Raw genomic sequence first — 22,653 nt, forward strand, 5'->3', positions numbered from 1 at the left:
AAAATTCCAGCTGAAATCTGGGGATCAACTCTCATTCCATCCACTTGAATGACACACTGGTTCTCAAACTCATCACTGTAGAAAGGTGGATGGAATACTCTGATTGTTCAGGCAAGTCCCTTGGTCCCTCTGCTTTGAGGTAAGCCCAGCCACTCAACAAGGAACAAGACTCAGGGAGGAGTGGCTCCCTAGAGAAGAACTGAAGAAGGGGAAAAAGATATTGGACAGGTAAAAACCAGAGTTACCCTTGATTCCTTGTAAGTGCAAGAAATACAAGAATTAAATACAAATACAATGAATAAAATACAGCCCTGTGAAGACAAAAGAGAAAGACAGGAAATAAGGCAAAGATAAAGTGATAAGTAGTCAGGGAAAAGTAGGTGTCAAGTATCAGAGTACCACCAAGGAAAGACACAGTTAAATGTCTGCCCACTTTATTATTATTATTATTATTATTATTATTATTATTATTATTATTATACTTTAAGTTCTGGGGTACTTGTGCAGAACATGCAGGTTTATTACATAGGTATACACGTGCCATGGTGGTTTGCTGCACCCATCAACCTGTCATCTACATTAGGTATTTCTGCTAATGCTATTCCTCCCCTAGTCCCCTACCCCTCAACAGGCCCTGGTGTGTGATGTTCCCCTCCCTGTCTCCATGTGTTCTCATTGTTCACCTCCCACTTACAAGTGAGAACATGCGGTGTCTGGTTTTCTGTTCCTGTGTTAGTTTGCTGAGAATGGCGATCATTAAAAAGTCAGGAAACAACAGATGCTGGAGAGAATGTGGAGAAATAGGAATGCTTTTACACTGTTGGTGGGAGTGTAAATAATAGTTCAACCATTGTGGAAGACAGTGTGGCAATTCCTCAAGGATCTAGAACCAGAAATACCATTTGACCCAGCAATCCCATTACTGAGTATATACCCAAAGGATTATAAATCATTCTACTATAAAGATACATGCACATGTATGTTTATTGCAGCACTGTTCACAATAGCAAAGACTTGGAACCAACCCAAATGCCCATCAATGATAGACTGGATAAAGAAAATGTGGCACATATACAACATGGAGTACTATGCAGCCATAAAAAAGGATGAGTTCATGGCCTTTTTAGGGACATGGATGAAGCTGCCCACTTCTTTCGTGTTTTGCAATAGTTCTGAGGAAACAGAGAGCCCCTCTCATTTGTCTAATTTACTATTCTTGATATCCTTGGAGGCCATTGTTTGGTAAGAGTTGTGGAGTTTATTCTGTAAGGGAGAAAACTTATTTTCTTTCCCTTTTTAGGTTCTTAGTTGAAACATTGTCCGGAAAACAAAAGTCAGATTAACAAAAGTAAAACAAACAGAAGTTTGTTAATGTGCGCTGTACCCATCACACAGAAGAGGCCTCAGTTCAAAAAAGCACTTCTCTCTCAAGGCAGTGGCTTAGAGGCCTTGCTTAAATAGTATTTTAACAAAGAGCCATAAATCTTGTATAGTGATAAAACAAAGAAGAGAGTATCTTCAGGTTTCCAAAAGGTGGGGAAATGTGGGAAGGTAAATTTATGGGAAGAGATAGATCCTAGATCTCTAATGCCACTGTCTCTGAGCTGATAAAGGCAGAGAGGAGAGGCAGAGTGTACCCCTGCATTTAACCTTTTAACTAAAATCCTCAGTATTTTAGAGAGGAATATTTTGTTTTCCTTCCATTCCAAAGGCCAAAAAATCCCAATTGCTTTAGTACAACTTCTAGGTTCATTTTTCATCATTTATAACATTTCTGGATACCATTGAGATTTGCCTGTAAATTCCTTAGGTCCTTAAATTTTATATTCTAAAGCTAGAATTATTGCTTTGGTAAAGGTCTGAATAACAATAACAATAAAATCATTATTCTAATTCCACACTTGAGCCTTATAAATATGCTTTTAACAGTAACTACAGTGCTGGATGGTGTGCTATTTCCAATCTGTTCTCCTCTTAGGTTTTCTTCTAGCTTACCTTCACATCTCTGTTATGGAGGTTACGGAAGAAAAAATAAAAGAGGTGGTAAGGTCTCATGGTATCTAATAGATTGACTTTGAACTGAATGTCCACTGTAACCAAATTGCTTCTGATTTGTCTATTTTGGTTTTTATGTTTCAGCCTAATAGCTACAAAAAAGTTTTAAAGTATCTAAATTACTCAGTACATAAAGACAAAGATTATTGTTGCTATGCAAAAAGTACATAGGCCTGAGTTCAAAGCTCTAGGAAAATTAAAAAAGAACCCACGCTGTGACTTACAATTTCAAATTGATTCGAAAATATAATTTGAAACTTTGGAACTTTGTCTTCCAGCCTATATTTGTTATTGTTTTAGATATTTGAGCTGAATTTGTCAATGGGGACACAACAACAGATTTAATCATTACAGTGTGGAGGAAGGTGTAGTGATATTCAAAGAACTTGAACCAGAAGTCAGAAGAAGTGGCTTTGAGACCCAGTACTGCTGCCCTTGTGACTTTGGAGAACTTACTCAACCTCTCTGAAACTCAGTCTTTCCTTCTTTAAAATGGAGTCTATAACAATTATCCATGGGTAGCAGAAAATCAATAACATAACAGAAATGAAACCAGCTGGTACACTGTATTTGCTCATTCAATGATAGTCTTTATGCTTTATCATGACATCATGTGAAATATAGGAAGATACAAATTACCTCCCTCAATAATTTATAATCCAGTAGAAAAAAACTATATGTGCACTCTAAGTGATATCTTACAGGAGTTTAGACAGAAGATTATCAGAAACAAGAAAAGTTGAGGAAGAGTGAATGTATAATGTGGAGGGTGATGTAGGCCTTGAAGACAAAAGGGTTTGCATTGTTAGAGTAGAGGAGGGAGCATCCTAGCCAAGTGAGTAAGTGTAGGGAAGGCAGAGGAGGTGCAGAGAGTTTAACAACATGTTTTTCCAGCACAAAAGCATGATTCTTCCTCAGAATCTTTAGCAAATAAATAAATAAGCAACAAAAATCATCTTTCCATTTACTTTGCATGTATCATGGCTCACCAAGTCATAATTCAGGGGGAACAAGCTAATTTTCTTAAAAGCTATCTTTTCCTTCCATCATTCAGAAGAAGTGGATTATCATAGAAAACACTCAGTACATTTCCTCTTTAAGTAAAGTGTGGGTGGGGAAATTTAGGTGGGCATCCTGTGCTATGGTTGCAGAGAAGTTTTATGAAGGCTACTTGAAACATGAGCATCCGGGAATACTTGAAACATAGGTATTATTTGGTCCAAACTTGCTGGTTTACAGCTTGAGAAAAATGGTACCCAGACACACTGAGTGACTTTTCCAAGGCCACAAGTCAGATACTTAGAGAGGTGAGGTGAAAAGCCAGGTCCTCAGGAAGACAGAATTCTAATCCGGAAATGGATTAATGTGTAGTCATTTGTTTATTCATTTATTCATTCAGACAGTCTCTCCTAAGGGCTTGTTATATGCTAGACACTATCCTGATTACAAGAGATTACATGTTATGAAAATAAAGACAACCCAAATGAGAACAAACAGAGGCTATTTATTCCATTTGTTATAGCTAGGAAGTCAGCCACTATCACATCTGGTAGATACTCAAAGGCAGGAAGAGGACTGGCAAATCTTTCTAGTGAAGAAGAAGCAAGGCTTCAGGTATGCTCTGATTAGAGGCTGTTGGCATGGGGGAGCCTCATGCTAGCATAAGGTGGGCTTTCTGGGAGTGGTGCATATATGTGATTGGTCTGGGGAGCATACCATTCTGTTCTGCTGACCACTCTAGGCCAGAGGTTATAGTTTGGCTTAGAGAAGTGATTGCTGCAGAGGTGGAAAGTCAGAGTTCTATTCTCATATGTGATCTGGCCATTGTCCATTTATATATTCAGTCCCCTTGGTGGGGCACAAGAGATGCTGTGCCTCCACTAATGGAACTTACAGTCTCACGGTTTAATCACACCTTGGAAAATGCTAGAAAGGAAAAGTTAGTGGTTGCAGAATGGAATCTGGAGTCTAGTCTGGAAGTTTCCTTGAACAACTGATTCCAAGCTATCCCTAAATATTAACCTGAAGTTATTCGTAGCAAAGAGTAAAAATATCATTACTAAAAGTATTTGTGAGGTTTTACAAATAGACCTGTCAATAGATTTTTACAAAAGAGGTATTAATCCCTTTTTCCACCTCTGATCAGAATCAACCAATCAAATGTTTTATACTATTTTTTTGTCTCTCACACCATAGCAACAAAATCAGAAGGGATCTCATTGTGAGGGCCTATTATGTCTTAAAACAAAACAAAAAAGAACATAAAGGGCAGCATTTAACATGAAAATAGTATCCTGACCCTCCTTGGACTAAATGTTGTTAATCAAGTTTAAATTTAGCTCCCACGAAGTCTCAAAAGAAAAGGAGACAGCCAGGTCCAGCGAGGAAAAACTTCCGAGTGCCTCTAAGGCAGGGAAAACAAGCCTCAAGTCAACAAAGGGCAGGCAGCCTGTAAAAACAAATGGTGCTGATGAGAAGGCTGGGGCCCCAGAAAGCTCATTAGCAATCAGATGCAGCCACGGAGCTGTCTCCTTCCAGTCTACCGGCCAATGACACCATAGAGCCTGTGACTCAGCGGCCCGACTGCCCGGCTGCACTCCTGAGACATCCCCGCCTGCTCAGGCGACTCCCAAGACCCTGAGAGACCTGGATACTGAAGGGGAGGAGGCAGGAAGCCAGGAAACACCACAGATGAAGTGAAGAAAAGCAAAGCTATTGTCCTTATCTACCCACTGATAACCAATAGTGAGGGATGGGGAGAGGCAGCTGCTAGGTGGGATTCTGGAGACAACATGACTTCAACTGAGGGGCAGAGCGTGGCGGCTGCACTTTTGTTTCCAGCTTTATGAATCCCAGTGCTGTTCCCAGTCTTTGGAAATTGAAGGACCTCTTAATATCACTCGTTTTGCGGCCTTTTACATGAATGAAAACAAATCTTATGATATGTTGCTTTTCAAAAACGGCTATTTTGAATCTGGTTGACACTTTCAGTGAATTCGCTTTTTCTTTTCATAACTGCAGCTGCATGCGTGGGAAAACAGTAGGCATATGTAGTTGGAAGATAGTAGCACAGCCCTTTCTCATCTCTGTCCCATCCCTGCAGGCTTCCAGGTGAGAAGTACGGGGCTTCACAATTGAGAATCAGAGTGAAAAGGAGAAACTGGCCTTTATTGATTATCGACTATTATCAGTCATTCTTGGATAAGAAAGGTATTGTTTGTTTTCTCTCTTATAAAATACAAAACAGTTAACTTGAGAAATTAAGATACCTGCCTTGGGTCATATTATTGGTAATTTTGAAACTTTCAAAAATCACAGCACTTTCCACCTTTCCAAATTCCTACTTAAATCAATTCAACTTCATTGGGGGTATATTAGGGACTGGCTGACTACCTCTCATGCATATTTGTGAGGGAGTCTTGCACTTTGCCCCTGGTGAGACTTTTGGTTCTTTATGTCCTAGATGCTATTGGTGGGATGCAGAAGTGATGACTGATTGAAAAGTGTTAAACAGACTAATCAAGTGATTCTTAGGCTAAGATGGCTCTAGGGCCTTAGATTCCTACATATGCAAAGTGAGACAACTCAATGTAAATAGCAAAATGAAACTTACACTTTACCAGTCAGAAACTACCAGCTAATTCTAACTAAAGATTTTCTACTTTAGCCAATCAAATATTTTCTTTGTCTTTCTTCTGAGGACATCTTACAACCGTTTTTACATTGCACCCTGTCAGTGAAACCCAAACCATTTGTGGTTTAATGCTGCCCAATTCATGAACTGCTGTCTGTTCAAGTTAACTCTTTAAAATTTTAATGTACCGAAGTTTATCTTTTAACAAAGGGGATAGGGCTTCTGGGAGATAAAAGATTCAGGATATTTATTTGAATGGTATAGATTATAGGACCTTTGACTAAAAAGGCACATTAAATGGTAAAACCCTAAAGGGTTTGACATATAACCTATAACATCAAAAATATCTTTTATAGAACAAAGAATGAAGAATCAACATTTGAGCCATTATCACAACCATTTTCTATCAGTTTCTGAGGACTATTCAGTCTTTTCACCCAGAACACTAGTTTTCAAATGTGTTCAAATTCCTTCAGACCCTTCAGGGATCCACCTGGAGAGCAATGGCCAATCCAAAAGCCCCAGTTGAGGACTGAGGCCCTACTTTCACCAAAGGTGCTTCATGTCATCTGTTTCACATGATGGACTATTTTGAAAGATTTAATTTGAAAGCCACTGTATGAAATAAATTTAGTGCTTGGCAGGTGATAGGTCCTTAATACATATTTATTGGCCAAGGGTAGATTACTTGAACCACAAATGCCTCTTCTGGACTAGTTATTTTTGATTCTTAGTTAAAATAACAAATGAAATAGTATTAAAAACATTAATATGTTTTTATAAAAGATGAAACCATGACACTATTAAGTTGGTTCAGGCTAGAAGAATAAGGATACCAGACTACCATTGCCTCACATACACCTCGGGTTAAGGGGATCTTTTGGGAGCCAGAAGAAGCATATGAGTTGTCATTCTATCCAAAATACTTAACTCACACTTTCAACTTTGGATTATTAGACCCTTGGATTGCTTTTTTCAATTTAAAACCAATGATCCTTGAAGTCCTTTCTATTCTGAGACAGAACAGGGGTATCGTAAAACATCTGGAAAGCCATCTTTACTATGTAATCATTCTCCAGGGGCCTCAAATCCACACATGGCAGCAGAAGTAACTTGCTCAGTCTATTTAGTTGACCCTGAGATGATGAGATACAGGACAAGTAAGATGCCTTTGTGGGGGAATATGGTGCTGATGAGCAAAGAATGCTGAGGTGGGCGCATTTTCCTCATCCAGGAAAGGATAACAATAGCTGTCATCTATTGAACTGTTACTAAGAACCAAAAACTATGTGATGCATCCCTATAAAGTAGTTACATGTATTCTAACTGTTGTACAAGAGACTGTGCTTGCTTAAAATGCTCCCATGGCCCTACATTCTAATTAGAACAGAATTGATGCACTTTATCAAGGTACTAAAGCTCTGGGTAATCTGGCTCATCCTCATCTCTGACCTGATCTTTCTCCTCCACTCTCCCATTTGCCAGTCCTGCTCCAGCTTTATTGGTCTTCTTCCTGTCCCTTGGCTCATAAAGCTTATTTTGGGCTTGCTGTCCTCTTGACCTTCCTTTAAATCTTTGCATAGCTAGCTCCTTCACATTATTTGAGTCTCTGCTCATCTGACCTAAGAGAGTTTGACTGTCCATCCAAAAGAGTAGCTTGCCCCTCCCTGCCCCCTGAATTATTCTCAATCTCATTCTGTTTTATTTTTTAAATAAATAAATAATAATAAAATAGGTTAAAAAGTTACCTATTTTTTTCTCTGTATATGTTTGCCTCCTTCATATAAACTATATAAGGGTTTGTTCAAGATGTTAGGTCCAGGGCCTTCATACATATTTGTTGAATGAATAAATGAATGATTGAATGGTAAGTAGTTTAAGTTAGATCACACAGTTACTGCACAGTTGAGCCAGGTCCTAAACCTAGGTTTGCCTGCCTCTGTTCTTGGGAAAGTAAACTCATAGAAGGGGAGTGCTAAGCGTATCAGAATTCAAGACAGGATGATGCCAAGTAGTAGAGCTTTTCCTATTGCATAGTTTGGCTTGGGCTAGGGCAGTCCAGTCTAAAACTGTGTTTCTCAGAGGAAAAGACCCAGCTCACTTGTATCAGAATCACTGGGAAAGCTATTAAAAGGCTTATTGGGCTCTGTCCCACACCTACTGAATTAGACTCTGGAGGTGCTTCCAGAGGGGCTGATATTGTAAACAAGGTCTCCAGAGGTTTCTGATGGACTGTAATTTTGAGAACCACAGGCTTGAAAGAAATTTGCTCCTGACCACACAACATTTATTTAGACGTCTGAAGTTTCTTAAACATACATCACTCTCACATATTCGTTAATTTCCCCAGGGTAGGCACATATTTCTCAGGTCAACTCACTCTTTTGGAGCAGAGAAGAGACAATGCTGCCCTGGGTTAGGTATCACAACCCTTCATCTGTGGCACAGCCTCCTCCTTTTAAACCCTCCACCCTTTAGAATTTACAATCAGAGATAAAAGTGTTTACCTCTTGTTCTGCAGATCTGCATGGAACTTGGTCCTTTTAGGACTATGAATCTGGTTAATGAAAAAGTAATTTCAATTTAGAAGCTTCAAAAGCCTAGATGAACTTCTGGAAAGTTATTATTCAAGATTTCTTTATTACACTTGAGAGCATGTAGGATCCCAATAAGCCAAATAAGAGACCTAGGCCATTTTTATTCCTTGGTGTACCAAATAAGAAGTCTATACCTGTTATGAATAATGACTGTGTTTAAAATACCTAAAATGATGACCCTGAAGGTTTGCTTTGATAAATTGATCTTCATATTCTTTTGCCTTAAACTTTCTTAGCTTTAGATGAGTTGCCTGCTTTAATTGGTTACTTCGAAGTCTAGTTTACAAACAGAAACTAAGCAACACCCATTCAGAGAATCATGGCTACCAAATGGAATGATCTGAATAATGGAGCTCTTTCTCTGACATCCAATGCTTAGACTGCAGTGTTGGAAAATCTTATATCTGAATTTCTGTCAGTTGACATCAATAACTTTCACTTTTAATGGACTTGAGACATTACATTTTGCCTGACTTGAAACCAGTGGGAAAAAAGAAGTTTCACCTGAAACTTGGCCCAGATTTCTCCTTTGTGGTTTATAAATGATGAACACATGCCCAGATTGGGTTCATGTTTAGGACAAAATTCTGATGAGGAAATTTTTTGCTTATTTCAGGTTTCAAAAAAAAAGTTTACAGTTCTGAACAACACTCTATGTATTATAGATATGAGAATGCACTCCTGGTCATTTCAGTGAGTAGAAATATTTTAGACTAGAAAATCAGAGAGAAATCTGAGGTATCTCATGTAAATATACTTAGGTTTGCTTTAGGGATTATGCTAGTGACATTTTAAAGGAGCTCTTAAAAATCCAGTGCTCTAAAGTGTGCTCTGCTATTAACTATAGAGTTTTAATTTATTTCCTTGACTTATCAATTTTTGGAAGAGGTGACTTTATGTCTTTGTCATGTCCCAGCCCAGATACCTTTCCATGATTTTCTTCTAGTGATGTAGGACCAGCTCTTTATTCATTTATTTTACCTTTAAGCTCTGTGTGACTTGAAGGACCAGCTCTTTAAATGATGCATCATTTGGCTATTTTGGATTGTACGTACAGAAAACACAACCTAAGTCAATTTAAAAAATAAAATAGCTTCATTTCTCAGACATTGTCTCAGCTCGGCCCTGCTTCTTGTATCAGCTTAGTTCTCACACCAGCTTTCCTCATGATCACAACATAAAGAGTCTCTTGGGCTATGTGCTCCCTCACTCAAGTCCAGAGACAATAAACTTGTCTTTTTATTTTTAAGACATTTCAGTTGGGATTTCTATTACTCACCATTGCAAATATCCTAAATGATAAAAATGGGAAAAGTATGCAAGAGGGTGGCCAGATCTTTTTAGAAATAGAATTTTTATTTCTCTGCTATAGTGAATTGAAATAACTCTTAAGTAGCCCTTTTACCTTTTCTTCTTCCACCTTCTCATTATTTTCACGTGTATTTCTCCATGCCTCCTTGCTTTAAAACTAGGGGAAGCTGATGGCAAAAGGATGAGGAATGTCACCTAAGACTAACTGTATATTGCAGACCAGGTATGCTGGTAATGATAGATGATTGATTTCCAGATTTCTCTGCATTAGGCCTTCTCTGTCAAGTCTTTGATTTTGTGCCAAAGAATGATGAATATCCTGTCATCATTGCAATATCTTGAAGACAAGACCAATAATGACATTTATTATTGCTGTTGCTACTATTATTATGGTAGCAACTAAAATGTCAGTGATCCATCCCACGCTGTGTAGCTCAACATTGGAGAATTTAGGATTTAGGGTAATCACAGTAGACTTAGACTTTGAAATTGATAATGAATTTTTTAAGTTAATTATCATTATTTGATCTAAAAAGAGAAAGAGAGAGAGAGAAAAGAGAGATTGAGAAATTCCAACCATCTGGCATTTTTAGGTAAAAGATTAAATGGTTGGAAAACCTGGGTTCTAGGAGTTGAGCTGCCATGCACTGGATGTGGATCTTGGTTAAATCACTTAACATCCTTGGATTTCACCTAAACTGAGAAAGTGAGATCATTAGACCATTGCTAAGAGCTCTTTGTTGGTTCTAGCGTTAGTATTACCTCTTTCAGGCAAGGACAGGTAGATCCCAGGCACAAACTGGCCACTATTCACAAGTTAACCCAGTGAGGGGGATTCTTCAAGACCTAATTTCTCATTTCTAAATTCTTCACTCATTCTATAAACCTTAAAATATGAGAGCTGCCTGAGCTATAAAAATCACTGAGGCCAGTGGTTATTACCCCTTTTTATAGACTCCTTGACATTTTTATGAAAATTATTGGCATTCTTTTCTGAAAAATACACATGCAGAAAATTTTGCATATAAATTAAGGATTCACAGAGTTACTGAGGCACAGCCATGGGCCTATGTAGACATGAGTTAAATATTCCTGATGTTGCTTGACCCCATTGCTTTGTTACCAACAAAACTAATAACTAGAAAAGTAAAATATCTCAACCAAAGTCACATAACAAATTAGTGAGAAGACACCAATGGCTTGTGCAACAGCCATCCCATGCCCAATCATCTGTTCCTTGTGGGAAATGGCTCCTGCCATTCTCAGGAAATGTAGCTTCTTCCCTTCCCCAAGAAGAAATGTTGTTTAACTTAAATTCTCAATCATGAGAATTCATTCACTTGGAAAGCAAACCTAGTCCATGACACATAAGCAGATACCTTCTAGGGTATTTTCTGGAAAAGGTTTCTCTCCTATATTTAAACAAGGAAGAGAAGCAACTTGCTATTCTGCTTTCACACATAGTCTTGTGAGGGTGTGGTATTTGGAACTGTAACAGCTACCATGAGGGTAGCTAAGATGTGCTCAGGGTCACAGAGGGCAAAGATGGAAAGAGTGTGGACTTTTGGTGACATCATGGAGGGACTGAACCACCCCTGGACTGCTTGCTTTTCTCCATACTTCTTGTTGGGTAAAGTAATAAAGGTGTTCATTGTTTAAGGCAGTACTTTTCAGTCTTTTTCACATTGTGATGTATGTAGAAATGATCATACTTGTAAAGCACACTAGCATAATTGGAGGAGGCAGAGGACTCAGGAACTTCAAATTTCACTCCACTGTCCTGAGGGCTGAGAGGAATCGGCCCCTTATACAACAGTATCTTAGCATAGCCCCTGCCAGCACTCCAGTGTGCCAGGCACTATCGGCTATGGGGATTATCTGATTCTATAGGGGTGTGTCCCTTTGTCTGTCTTTGACTAGCCTTTTACAACTCTGTAGAGAGACAAGTTAACTTGTACAAAACTGCAAATGTTTCCTGCCCATAGCTATCCAAGTGATCTTGTTTAAGGCAATGCAAATGGATTTTCTGCATATTAATCAGCTTGAGTTTCCATAAAGACATACCATAAACTAGGTGGCTTTAACAACAGAAATTAATTTTCTCACAATTCTAGAACTAGAAGTCTGAGATTAGGGTGCCAGCACACTCGGGTTCTGATGAGGAGTCTCTTTCTGGCTTGTAGACAGCCACCTTCTCGCTGTGGTTTCACATGCTAGAGAGACAGAGAGAGACATCTCTAATGTCTCTTCCTTTCTATAAGGACACCGATTCTATCAAATCAGGGCTCTACCCTTATGACCTCATTTAACCTTAATCACCTCCTTAAATCACTGTCCTATCTCCATTACAATTTCATGGGGGTGGGGGTCGGGGTAGTGCTTCAAAAAATTAATTTGAGGGAAAGGAGAGGACACAGTTCAGTCCATAGCATTCAGATAGACAATGTAACATTTTATCTCTGTATACCATTTAAATTATTTGTAACATCTTACTCATTCCTTCATTAATGAATAAATAAAATTTTTGACGTATGCTTGTCTTACATATATGTGTGTTATAATTTTATTTTTTTGTAATTTATTTTTTAACGAAAAGATCAGACTCTATTCTTAGATGGCAATTCCTAAGGTTACTGAAAAGAGAGGGACATTTTAAGATCCCATTATTTCCCAATTCATTTGAGTCACTTTCCTTGGTTGAGGAGACTGACCCTTGTTTTTTTCTATATCTTATGGATCAATTGTTAATTTAAAAGAAGCTGGATTGAAAACACTGAGTTGTAGAAATCCTTAGTCCTGGACCCAGGTGGATTTCTACAAGTTATAAAACTCAGTAAAGCCATGTAACCTCTTGGCCTCACAGTTCCTCCATCAACGTAATGAAGAGATTGGAATAAATGTTCTGTAATATGCTTTCAAATTTTAGAATGTGTTGATTCCATGATTTGTGCTTATAAAGGGTGGTAACTGTAGAGGTAAAACTTTCTCACTGTCTAGAAGAAAACTATTTAAAAATTTTTTAGAGATATGGTCTTGCTATGTTGCCCAAGCTGGAATGCAATCACTATTCACAGGTGCGATCACGGTGCACTGTAGCCTCAAATTCATGGCCTCAAGTGATTCTCTCTCCTAAGCCTCCCAAGTAGCTGAGAATACAGGAGCATGCCAGCATGCCCAGATAGAAGAATATTTTAATAAAAATATCCACATATTTGTGATGTCTGTGTTCTTCATGCTTTGGTAGGTAAGACTGAGTTTTGGAAGACTTTTTTTCTCTTCTCTTCTCCCATTCCTTTACACACCTGCTTCCTGCCCCACTGAAAAAGCCACTAACTTCCTTTGTGTTCAAGTTTCTCCATCTGTGAAATGTGAGGCTGAGTGCCCATCGGCCTCCCAAGGGTATTCTGTGTCTGACTCTATCACAGAGCATTCACTATGCTGAGCATTATCTACAGACTGAGGCTGGCATTTCCTTCCTTTCCTTTCTTGATCATAATTTGATCCTTACTTCCTTGGGAGTCTCTTGCTTTTACAATTTGTCAGTAGTTCTAATCCTGTTTTAACATAATTTAAAGCTATGGTGATGCTAATGGCGTCATTGATAATGAGCTGGAAGTGGCAGAGAGCCTTTTAAAAAGTGTGTTCAAGTAGTGAAAAAAATCCACCAAACCTCAAAAAAAACAAGACAAAAACCACACAGTAGTAACATAGGAAAACGTTCCCATCTAAACAAAATAATTTACATGAGACAGCATTACCAGATAAAATACAAGACATTCAATTAAATTTGACTGAAAATTGAGAATAAATTTTTAGTATAAGTGTATTCCACACAAAGGACAGGCCCATCATGTCCATGTCCATATTAAATGTTTTGTTGTTTATCTCACATTCAAATTTTACTAGATGTCTCGCATTTATATTTATTAAATCTGGCAATCCTAACAAGACTTTTAAAAGCTGAGCTTTCTGTTCAGCAGCTTCTGCTTGAGATAAAATGAGGTTCTGGTGTGTGGCTGGGCTTTTTTTGGTTGTTCAAATATGAAACAAAGAAATACTCCAAAATTGACAAAAGGGAAGAGGTTGAAACTTCCCCATAGTCTTACCATGAAAAATTATGTGGGAGAACAGTAGATCTTGTCATGCTGAACTTTTTGTATCCATAGATATTTGGTCTTAGAAAATTTGAAAAAAATAAAACAGTTGGCAATTCCATGAGAAGTTGCAGTTCCCATGTTTATTAGAAACAGTGCAAGCATTTTCTAAAGGTCATAAAAATTGTAATATTTGAAGGATTCTGGAGACAGTAGTGATAAGCTATGAAAGGATAAGAGTTTTTCAGGAAGTCCTTTGGTTTTAAAGCATTCAGTGCCAAGGATAAGGCTGCACAACAGTGGGCCCTGACTCTGTGGCAACTCTATTAGGACTACAATAGTCACATAGCACAAGCAGCCTGGCAGGTCCCCTGTGGCACACATGCACACTGATGTTCCCCACCATCTCAGAGCACCTGCTTGACATCTGTACCCTCCACTGCCACTTTAGGGTTTAACTATGTAGGAGACGAGAACAAGCCATCTCAAAATATGCCTTTTTGGCACAAGGATTATTTTGAGAAACTGCAGACATGAGAGATGCTCTGAAATCAGAGTACAGTTGTCCCACAGTATCTGTGGGGGATTGGTTCCAGGACCCCCATGGACAGCAAAATCCATGGATACTCAAGTCCCTGATATAAAATGGCATAATATATGCATATAACCTATCCACATCCTCCCATATACTTTAAATCATCTCTAGATTGCTTATAATATCTAATATAATGTAAATGCTGTATAAACAACTATGTTGTTATACTGTATTACATAGAGAATAATGAATAGAAAAAAGGCTGTACATGTCTGGTACAGATGCTTGTTTTTTTCTCAAATATTTTCAAACCAGAGTTGGTTGAATCCACAGATGTGGAACCCAGGGGTAGGAAGGGCTGACTGGACAAGTTACTCTTTTATTCTTTTATAAGGGAAATTTATTTCTATAAAGGAAATCTCCATTTGTAAAGATGCCTCCCTCTCTGTACCATGAAGCAGAGAATGACAAAAATTACTAGAGACTCATCAATGGAAAAGGCACTGACTTAAATCTACATAACACATCTTACCCTTGCTTACCATGATCTGCTGGGCCTCCCCCCCACATCCTCCTTCCTTTGTTTCAGCAGGTGAGGCTATTAAAGCCTGATTTCAAAGCCACCTTTTAGTAATTTACTCATTTCTCAGGGTGTTTCCCATGTATATATGAGGCATACATGCTAATAAACTTCTGGTTTTTTTCTCTCTTGTTACTCTGTCTTTTGTTACAGGGGTTCACACTGATTAAGAACTATTCAGGGTAGAGAGAAAATTATTTTTCTTTCCTTACAATTATGAGAGGGAGTTATTCAGCAAATAAAATGACTAGGAAAAATGCAAAAAAGCTAAGAGGTGTGACTACCTCTGTCACTGAGTCCAGGGCTACTCCAAGTAGGATCTGCTGTCCAGTGCTGGTCTGTGAACTCTTTGTCACTGTTCAGCACCAAGAAAATTACAGAAATTGAGAGGGAACATTTAGAAACCTTTCATAATATCAAGTCTGTTGAATCTAGTAATGAAAAATGTGGACATGCATTTTGTGTGTCTTTTTTGTTATTGTTTGCTTCATTTTTCTAGTAATTTGTTTTTATTGTATTTGACAAAAGTATCAGTCATGAAAAGACTATGATACTGCAACAGATAAAATGCATGCTAATATTGATGCTCTTTAAAACAAATGAGATAACTCTAACAATGGCTTAAATTGAATTGTTAAATTTATCAACCCAGGCTTTCAATCAGTAGTAATTACTGTGACAAGAAAAACTTTAGATAAATTAAATTTAAAAGAGGTTATCTGAGCAAAGAAGAATTCGAGAATCCAGCAGCTCCCTCCACCCCCGACATCCCCACCACCGACTCCTTGTGAACCAGAATAGATTCTGAGAAACTCTGCACTGCCACGGGTCAGAGAAGATTTATGGGCAGAAAAAGGAAAGTGATGTACAGAAAACAGAAGTGAGGTACAGAAACAGTTGGATTGTTGGATTGGTTACAGCTGAGCATTTGCCTTATTTGAATACAGTTTGAACCGCTGACTTCCTGTGATTGGCCAAAACTCAGTGATTGGTGCAAGAGCAGGTTGCAGTCTGTTTACCAATCCAGTTAGGTTACAGTTCACTTTGTATGCAGAAACCATTAGCCTGAACTTAAAGCATGTAAGGAGGCAGCTAGCTGTAGGCTAAACTTAACATTACATACCAAGCACTTTACTGGATACTGCAGATACAGTGATGAATAAGACAGACATTGTCTGGGGTTCCTGCCTTCATAGAATATACTCCAGGGATGAATACAGATAATAAAGTCACAACAAAGTAGTAAAAAAAAAAAAAAACAAGAATAGTGTGAAATACGAGGTGATATGGGAGCACATTATAAGGGGCCCTAAGCTGGTCCAGGATTCTGAGAAACATTCCCAGAGGGAATTGCACAAAGGCTGTTGGATTTACTAGTCTGAAATTCCAAGAGGGAATCTGAACTGGAAATATAAATGTGGAAATGTTACAGGCAGCGAATCCATATGGGTCTGCAGTAGCCTTAATTCTTGCCTCCTCAGAAGAAAGAATTTGACCAAGGGGCATAAGGCAGAGTGAGAGACTGAGGCAAGTTTTAGAGCAGGAATGAAAGTTTATTAAAAAGCTTTAGAACAGGAATGAAAGGAAGTAAAGTACATTTGGAAGAGGATCAAGCAGGAGACTTGAGAGATCAAGTGCACTGTTTGACCTGTGGCTTGGAGTTTTATTCACTGGCATGCTTCTGGGGTCTTGCATCTCTTCTCCCCGATTCTTCCCTTGGGGTGGGTTGTCTGCATGCACAGTGGCCTGCCAGCATTGGGAGGGGAGCATGGGCATGGTATGTTTACTAAAGTTGTACGCATGCTCACTTGAGGCATTTTCCCCTTACCCATCCAGTGCCCCTAGAGGAAGGTCATCATCCATTTTGCCCCTTAGTGCACATGCCTGAGCCCATTTGCCCAACTCCTGAGATCTCCTCAGGAAGCAGGTCACCAGTTTCAGGTTTTCCACCTATTGAGAGAAGGCCTTTTCCTGGCGTCAGCTGCAACCAATTATTATTTTAGAGAGCCAGCTTAACAACCGCCTGACCATCACCTGATGGTCTCATGACATTCCTGGTCAAGCAAGGGCCCCTCCTGCCCTGCTCATGCCTGACTTAAGCTGCCTACTCTAACAGAAATGTCATCTGGAGATGTTAACCTAGGGGTTACAAATGGATGAGATTGCCTAGGTAAAAAATATCAAGTGAAAGCAGGGAGACCTGGAACCTTAAATGTCTAATGGTGGAAGATGAACCTGAAAGGCAGATGAAAATAGAGAGCAAAAGTGGTGAGAGGAATTGGGGAGACTGTGGAATATCTAAAGCCAAACAAAGATGGTTTGGAAAAGCAGGCAGTGATAACAACATTAAACATTGCCAAGAGGTCAAACAAGAACTGAAAGATGTGCATTGAGTTCACCAAAGTCACAGTCATCGTTTTTGGTAAGAGAGGTTCTGGGATGTGGTGGTGGCAGCAGGGGAGTGTTTCAGAAGCCAAGTGTCAAGGAGAAGTACTATAAAGAATACAGTGATCATAAGCAACTCTTTCTAGATGTCTTGCTGTGGAATGGAGGAAAACGTAGAACTGTATTTGAAGAAAAGTATGGGTAAAGGAATTGTTACATTTAAGATGAGACCCCAAATATAAATGTTCATTTGGGGGATGTTATAGAAAAGAGTTTAGAGATAATAAAGACAGCAGGAGATAATCATTAGCAGTTTCCAAGAAGACAGGAGGAGAGAGAATCCCTGCATGACGTAACACTCATCCTATTTATAATTACAAATGCCTGCTCTCCATCAGATCCTAACCTCTGTGAGGACAGGGGCTACATTTGTGTGATTCATTACTGTCTGGTCAGCAACTAGGATACTGCTGGAACATCAAGAAGCTCAGTGAATAACAGAAGAAAATCCAGGTGCCAGTAGATCCTGTCTTTGACACATGGAGGGACACCTCCTCCTTGATGAGCCAACATGAAGGAGGACTCGGAAGAGAGAGAGAAAGGTGAGAGGTTTTCCAGCTGATATCTTATTCTCTCTGTGAAATGAAAAAGGAAAAAAGGATGAGGACTTGATAGAGCAAAAGGCTTGAAGAGAATGATGAAGTTTTGGCACTGCTCTTATGAAACAAGATTTACAGATAGAGAACCACTGAGGAGGAATAAATGACCATCTGCAAAGAAGTGCCAAGCTATGTTAGGAGTTCATATATGGAGCACACTTTTGGGGTCAGAACTGCAAGGAAGTCATGAAGACAAAAGTACTTCCAGTTTACCCTGAGGGATGAGTGTAGGCCCAAAAGCAGAAGCAGGGTTATAGGATTTGGGGAGCAGCTCAGGTAGAGGTGCAATGATAGAACTTGACCTGTTGGAGTCTACAGAAAGAGCAGCCCAATGGAGCCCAAACTCCACTTAGTAATTGAAATCAGGGAATGGGGGAGGATGGGAGGGAAAAGCAAGAGTATTCTTGGCCATTTCAAAAAACGCCCATTGTAGCAAATTGCCTTAATGAAAGTCTCCCAGCTTCTTGCTGAATTCTGTTTTAGGTTCATGTCATTTTTCTTTTCTCTTCTCTGTCATCCATCACTTTCCCGGAAACTCTCCCTCCTTTATTGAGGACTTTGGCTCAGGTTATCACCAGGAGGAATTTTCTCTGGTGACTTCTGGGCAAAAGATGTAAAGGTCTTTGTTGTCCTCACCTCCAGGGACTTTCACCCTCACTTTATTTTCCCAGTCCATACCAATTGTTATACCTTAAGCCTTGCCAATTGCACTTTTAAATTTCAACGTCCCACATGTTTAATGTCACCTTAATGCAACCAATTAACATAATTGAAATCAAAAAGAAAAATTTTCCCATACTACATAATCTAATTTAATGAATGCTTCAATTTGCCTTTGATATCATCTACTCCTTGTCCATATGCAACATTAATTTTTATATATTTGCAATATTAATAGCGTTCTGCAAGTTGGACCTTGTCATTAAGTATTGGATAAGAGTTTTGTGTTTTTTTGTTTGTTTGTTTTTGTTTTTGAGACAGACTCTTTCTGTGTTACCCAGGCTGGAGTGCAGTGGTGTGATCTCGGCTCACTGCAACCTCTGCCTCCTGGGTTCAAACAATTCTCATGCCTCAGCCTCTCCAGTAGCTGGGATTACAGGCACACGCCACCATGCCTGGCTAATTTTTGCATTTTAAACAAATATATATTTGAGATTTATTATTTTTTAAAATTATATACACCTCTTTGCAAATTAACAGCATATTAGGGGTATCTCTTCAGGTCAATAGATATAAACCTAAATAATTTTTTAAAAGAGTTGCATACTACCTCATAGAGTAAATATATCACAATTGATTCAATATTCCCCTACTGACATGTATGTTATTTCTTTCTACTTTAGATTAGACAAAAATTACAATAAATACTCTTAATTATGTATTTTTTCATATGAGTACTTTTATTTCCATAAGATAAATTTCAGGAAGAAAGATTTTTACACTAAAATGTTTATGTATTTTTAAGTTTAATAAATACCTCCAGATTACATATTTAAAAGATTATTATTCTCTCTGGCAACAAATTTTCTCCCACATCATTATCAGCCAATGGATACTCTAGTCCTTTGAATTATTTGCTTATCAGGTAGATAAAATTATATTCGTATCAATGAAATACACTCAGCTCCATGAAACAGATAATCCAACTAAAAGGAGATTAAGCATTGATGATCTATTATCTCACATAGTACAAGCCCAGAGGAAGTGTGATTCCAGAGTGGGTCAGTAGCACAAAGAGGTTGTTAAGTATGGGGGTAAAAACCATCTAAGTATGTATTCATCATCCTCAGGGTTTTGGCAATTCCTGTCCTCATGGCTACAATGGCTGGAGCTCTTCCAGGGACCTCATAAGTAAACATGTTCACTGAAGAAGAAGACTTCTTTCCTTTCATGTCTCCATATATTAGATGGAAAACATGTCTAGGAACCTCAACAGGAGACTTCCCCTAGGTTATCATTGGCTAGGGTTTAGTCACATGGCCATGCCTAAACTAACGAGGGGGATTAGATCACCATGGTTGGCTTATACCAGTCATTCTTAAAGTGCCACTTCTAGACTAGCAGCGTTAGCATCACCTAGAAACTTGTTAAAACTGCAAATTCTCAAGCCTCACTCAAGACCAAGTGAGTGAGAAATGCCAGGAGGGAGCCCAGCAATTTGCGTTTCAAGAAGCCCTCCAGGTGATTCCAGTGTACACTAAAATTTGAGACCATTGGCTTAGCCAATCATGATTTGACCCCTAGGGCTGAGGAAGGAATCAACCTTGCTGATTACCTGAACAAAGAAAAGGGTACCTGAGCAAAATTGAATTTCTGCTAGAAAGGAAAAAAAAAAAAAGATTAGATGAGAAGCCTCACTGTTGAGTAAGCCCCACCAATGTCTTCCATGTAACTCAGTGCTCTTTATCTTGGAATACTCTGACTAACCTCACGACATCCTTCATATCCACCTATTTCACTTTCATATGATTGGTACACAGCTACTCCCTATTTTATTGAAACTTCATTTCCCATGACCCTTCTTTTTCTCTATCAGTCCTCTCTTAATCAATTTCTTTTTAACTAGACTATACCCCATTGTACATCACTCAACTATTTTACCAGCACACCAGATCTCCAGATTACTCACTGTCTGCCATCAACATGCCTTAAATCCTATCTCAATCATGCAATTCACCTTTTCTGTAGCTACTGAGAACTGCCAAAGAGAACTGGTCAAATGCAAAGGATTAGAGGTATTATTATTATTTGTTTTAATATTCGTCTGTTACGTCAAATTCTTCTTAAAAATCTTCCTACCTTGGCTCTCTCTAATCTCCATTGATAAGTATTCCTTTTCCTCATTACTTCCATCTTAATTGCTGCCATACTACGCATCGTTTGAACCCGGGAGGCATAGGTTGCAATGAGCTGAGATCGCACCACTGCACTCCAGCCTGGGTGACAAAGAGAGAGTCTGTCTCAAAACAAACAAACAAACAAAAACAACAACAACAACAACAACAACAAAAACCTTTTACCCAATACTTAATGACAAGGTATGATTTGCAGAACTCTATTAATATTGCAATTGCATACTGTTCTCTTACTTTCAGAAAATAGCCTTACTTACTGTCTTATTGAGAAAATAGAGAAATCATTATTACGTGTCTCCAACATCCTTCAAGAAACTCATCTTTCCTGCCTCCAACCTTGCTCTGCTTTTTGTAGAACACACACCCATACACAAGTGCTACGTATGTACAAAGACATCTTCATCCCATCCTATCCTTACTTTCTTTCTTCCTTTTTCTGTGAAGGATACTTTTTCTCCCACCTTCTTAGAGCTAATGCCTACATTTGTTTTTGATTCAGTGATTCCTGCCTATGTTAGTTTCTTATTGTTGCTATAACAAATTACCACAAATTGGGGGTCCTAAAACAATACAAATTTATTCTCTAACCATTCTGGAGGTAGAGGTCCAAAATCAGTTTGCCTTGGCTGAAGTCAAGGTGTTGGCAGGGCAAACTCCTTCTGGGGGCTTCATTTTTAATTTTATTTTATAAGATTGTGATTACATTGGGCCAATCCAACTAATCCAGGAAAATCTCTTCATGGCAAAATCTTTAACTTAATCACACATGCGAAGTCCCCTGTACCATGGAAGGTAGCATATTCTCAGGTTCTGGGGACTAGGACATGGACATCTTCATACTCTTCTGTCTACTACACTGTCTCTCCTAGATTTTTGCTCCATAGAGTCCCTTCTGTTCTGCATCCTCAATGTTCCCTTCTCTTCTGGATTCTTCTTTTTAGCCTGTAAACCTGCTTAAATTTCTCTCATCTTAAAAATTATTTTCTGGCTGGGCACGGCGCCTCATGCCTGTAATCCCAGCACTTTGGAAGGCCGAGCCGTGTGGATCACTTGAGATTAGGAGTTCAGACCAGCCTGGCCAACATGGTGAAACCCCATCTCAGTAAAAATACAAAAATTAGCCGGGCTTGGCAGCATGCACCTGTAATCCCAGCTACTTGGGCAGCTGAGGCAGGAGAATCATTTGGCAGCTGAGGCAGGAGAATCACTTGAACCCAAGAGGTGGAGGTTGCAGTGAGCCGAGTTCACACCACTGCACTCCAGCTCGGGCAACAAAGTGAGACTTCATCTCAAAAAAAAAAAAAAAAGAAAGAAAGAAAAAAGGAAAAAAGAAAAGAAATTTCATTCCTCAGTTTTCTCATCTTCGGCCTTATTGCTCCCATGCCTTTCATAGTCAAACTCCTTAAATTTGGCTTCTTTAGCTCTTGTCTCCACTTCTTCATTGTCAAATTGCCCCACAATTCACTGAATGATTTCTCTACCTGCCATTCCACCAACAGAGTTATTTCTCTAATTGGTTACAAGCATCTTTATTATTGTCATCTTCTAGTGACATTTTTCTAGTCCTTATGTGACATCTTTGCAGCATTTGACATTGTTTCTGCCATTTTCTCATGCCTTGGTGTCAGAATAGCAAATAGCACTTTCTTGATTTTTCCCCCATTACATCATTCCAAAATATATACTGTGGACTGCTTCTTAACACTATAATCCAACATTGGTGTTCTATAGGTATCATCATCGACCCTCTTTCATTTTACTATGATGATCTATTTGGATTATCTAGTTTATTTCCTAACTCTATCTATTGTCTAAGAAAAGATCTCCAAATTTTTGACTTCTGCTAAATGTCTATCCAACTGCCTGCTGGGAATCTCCACCTGTGTGACCTGCTGGCATCTTAAACCAAGCATATCTGAAACCAAAGCCAAAGCTGCCTTTCTCCTTC

At 38.8% G+C, this 22,653-nt stretch overlaps 1 long non-coding RNA gene across 6 annotated transcripts in view, besides 1 other annotated feature; it reads right to left on the reverse strand.

Moving 5' to 3' along the window:
- LOC102723341 (uncharacterized) overlaps window positions 1-22,653 on the reverse strand; it is a 75,143-nt gene that overhangs the window by 47,394 nt on the left and 5,096 nt on the right. The window contains exon 2 of one of the 6 annotated variants that reach the window (NR_187739.1): window positions 20,650-20,786. The exons of the other annotated variants lie outside the window; for them this stretch is intronic. This is a non-coding gene — a long non-coding RNA (uncharacterized LOC102723341). The remainder of the gene's footprint in view (window positions 1-20,649; window positions 20,787-22,653) is intronic. 6 annotated transcript variants of the gene reach the window in all.
- Window positions 15,589-15,658: an enhancer, noted in NCBI's record as "active region_25026". NCBI's record gives its function as "activates an Ori minimal core promoter by ATAC-STARR-seq in GM12878 lymphoblastoid cells {active_cell/tissue: GM12878}" and the evidence as "EXISTENCE:reporter gene assay evidence [ECO:0000049][PMID:35858748]".

This window comes from Homo sapiens, chromosome 6 (assembly GCF_000001405.40).
Source record: "Homo sapiens chromosome 6, GRCh38.p14 Primary Assembly".
NCBI classification, from domain to species: domain Eukaryota; kingdom Metazoa; phylum Chordata; class Mammalia; order Primates; family Hominidae; genus Homo; species Homo sapiens.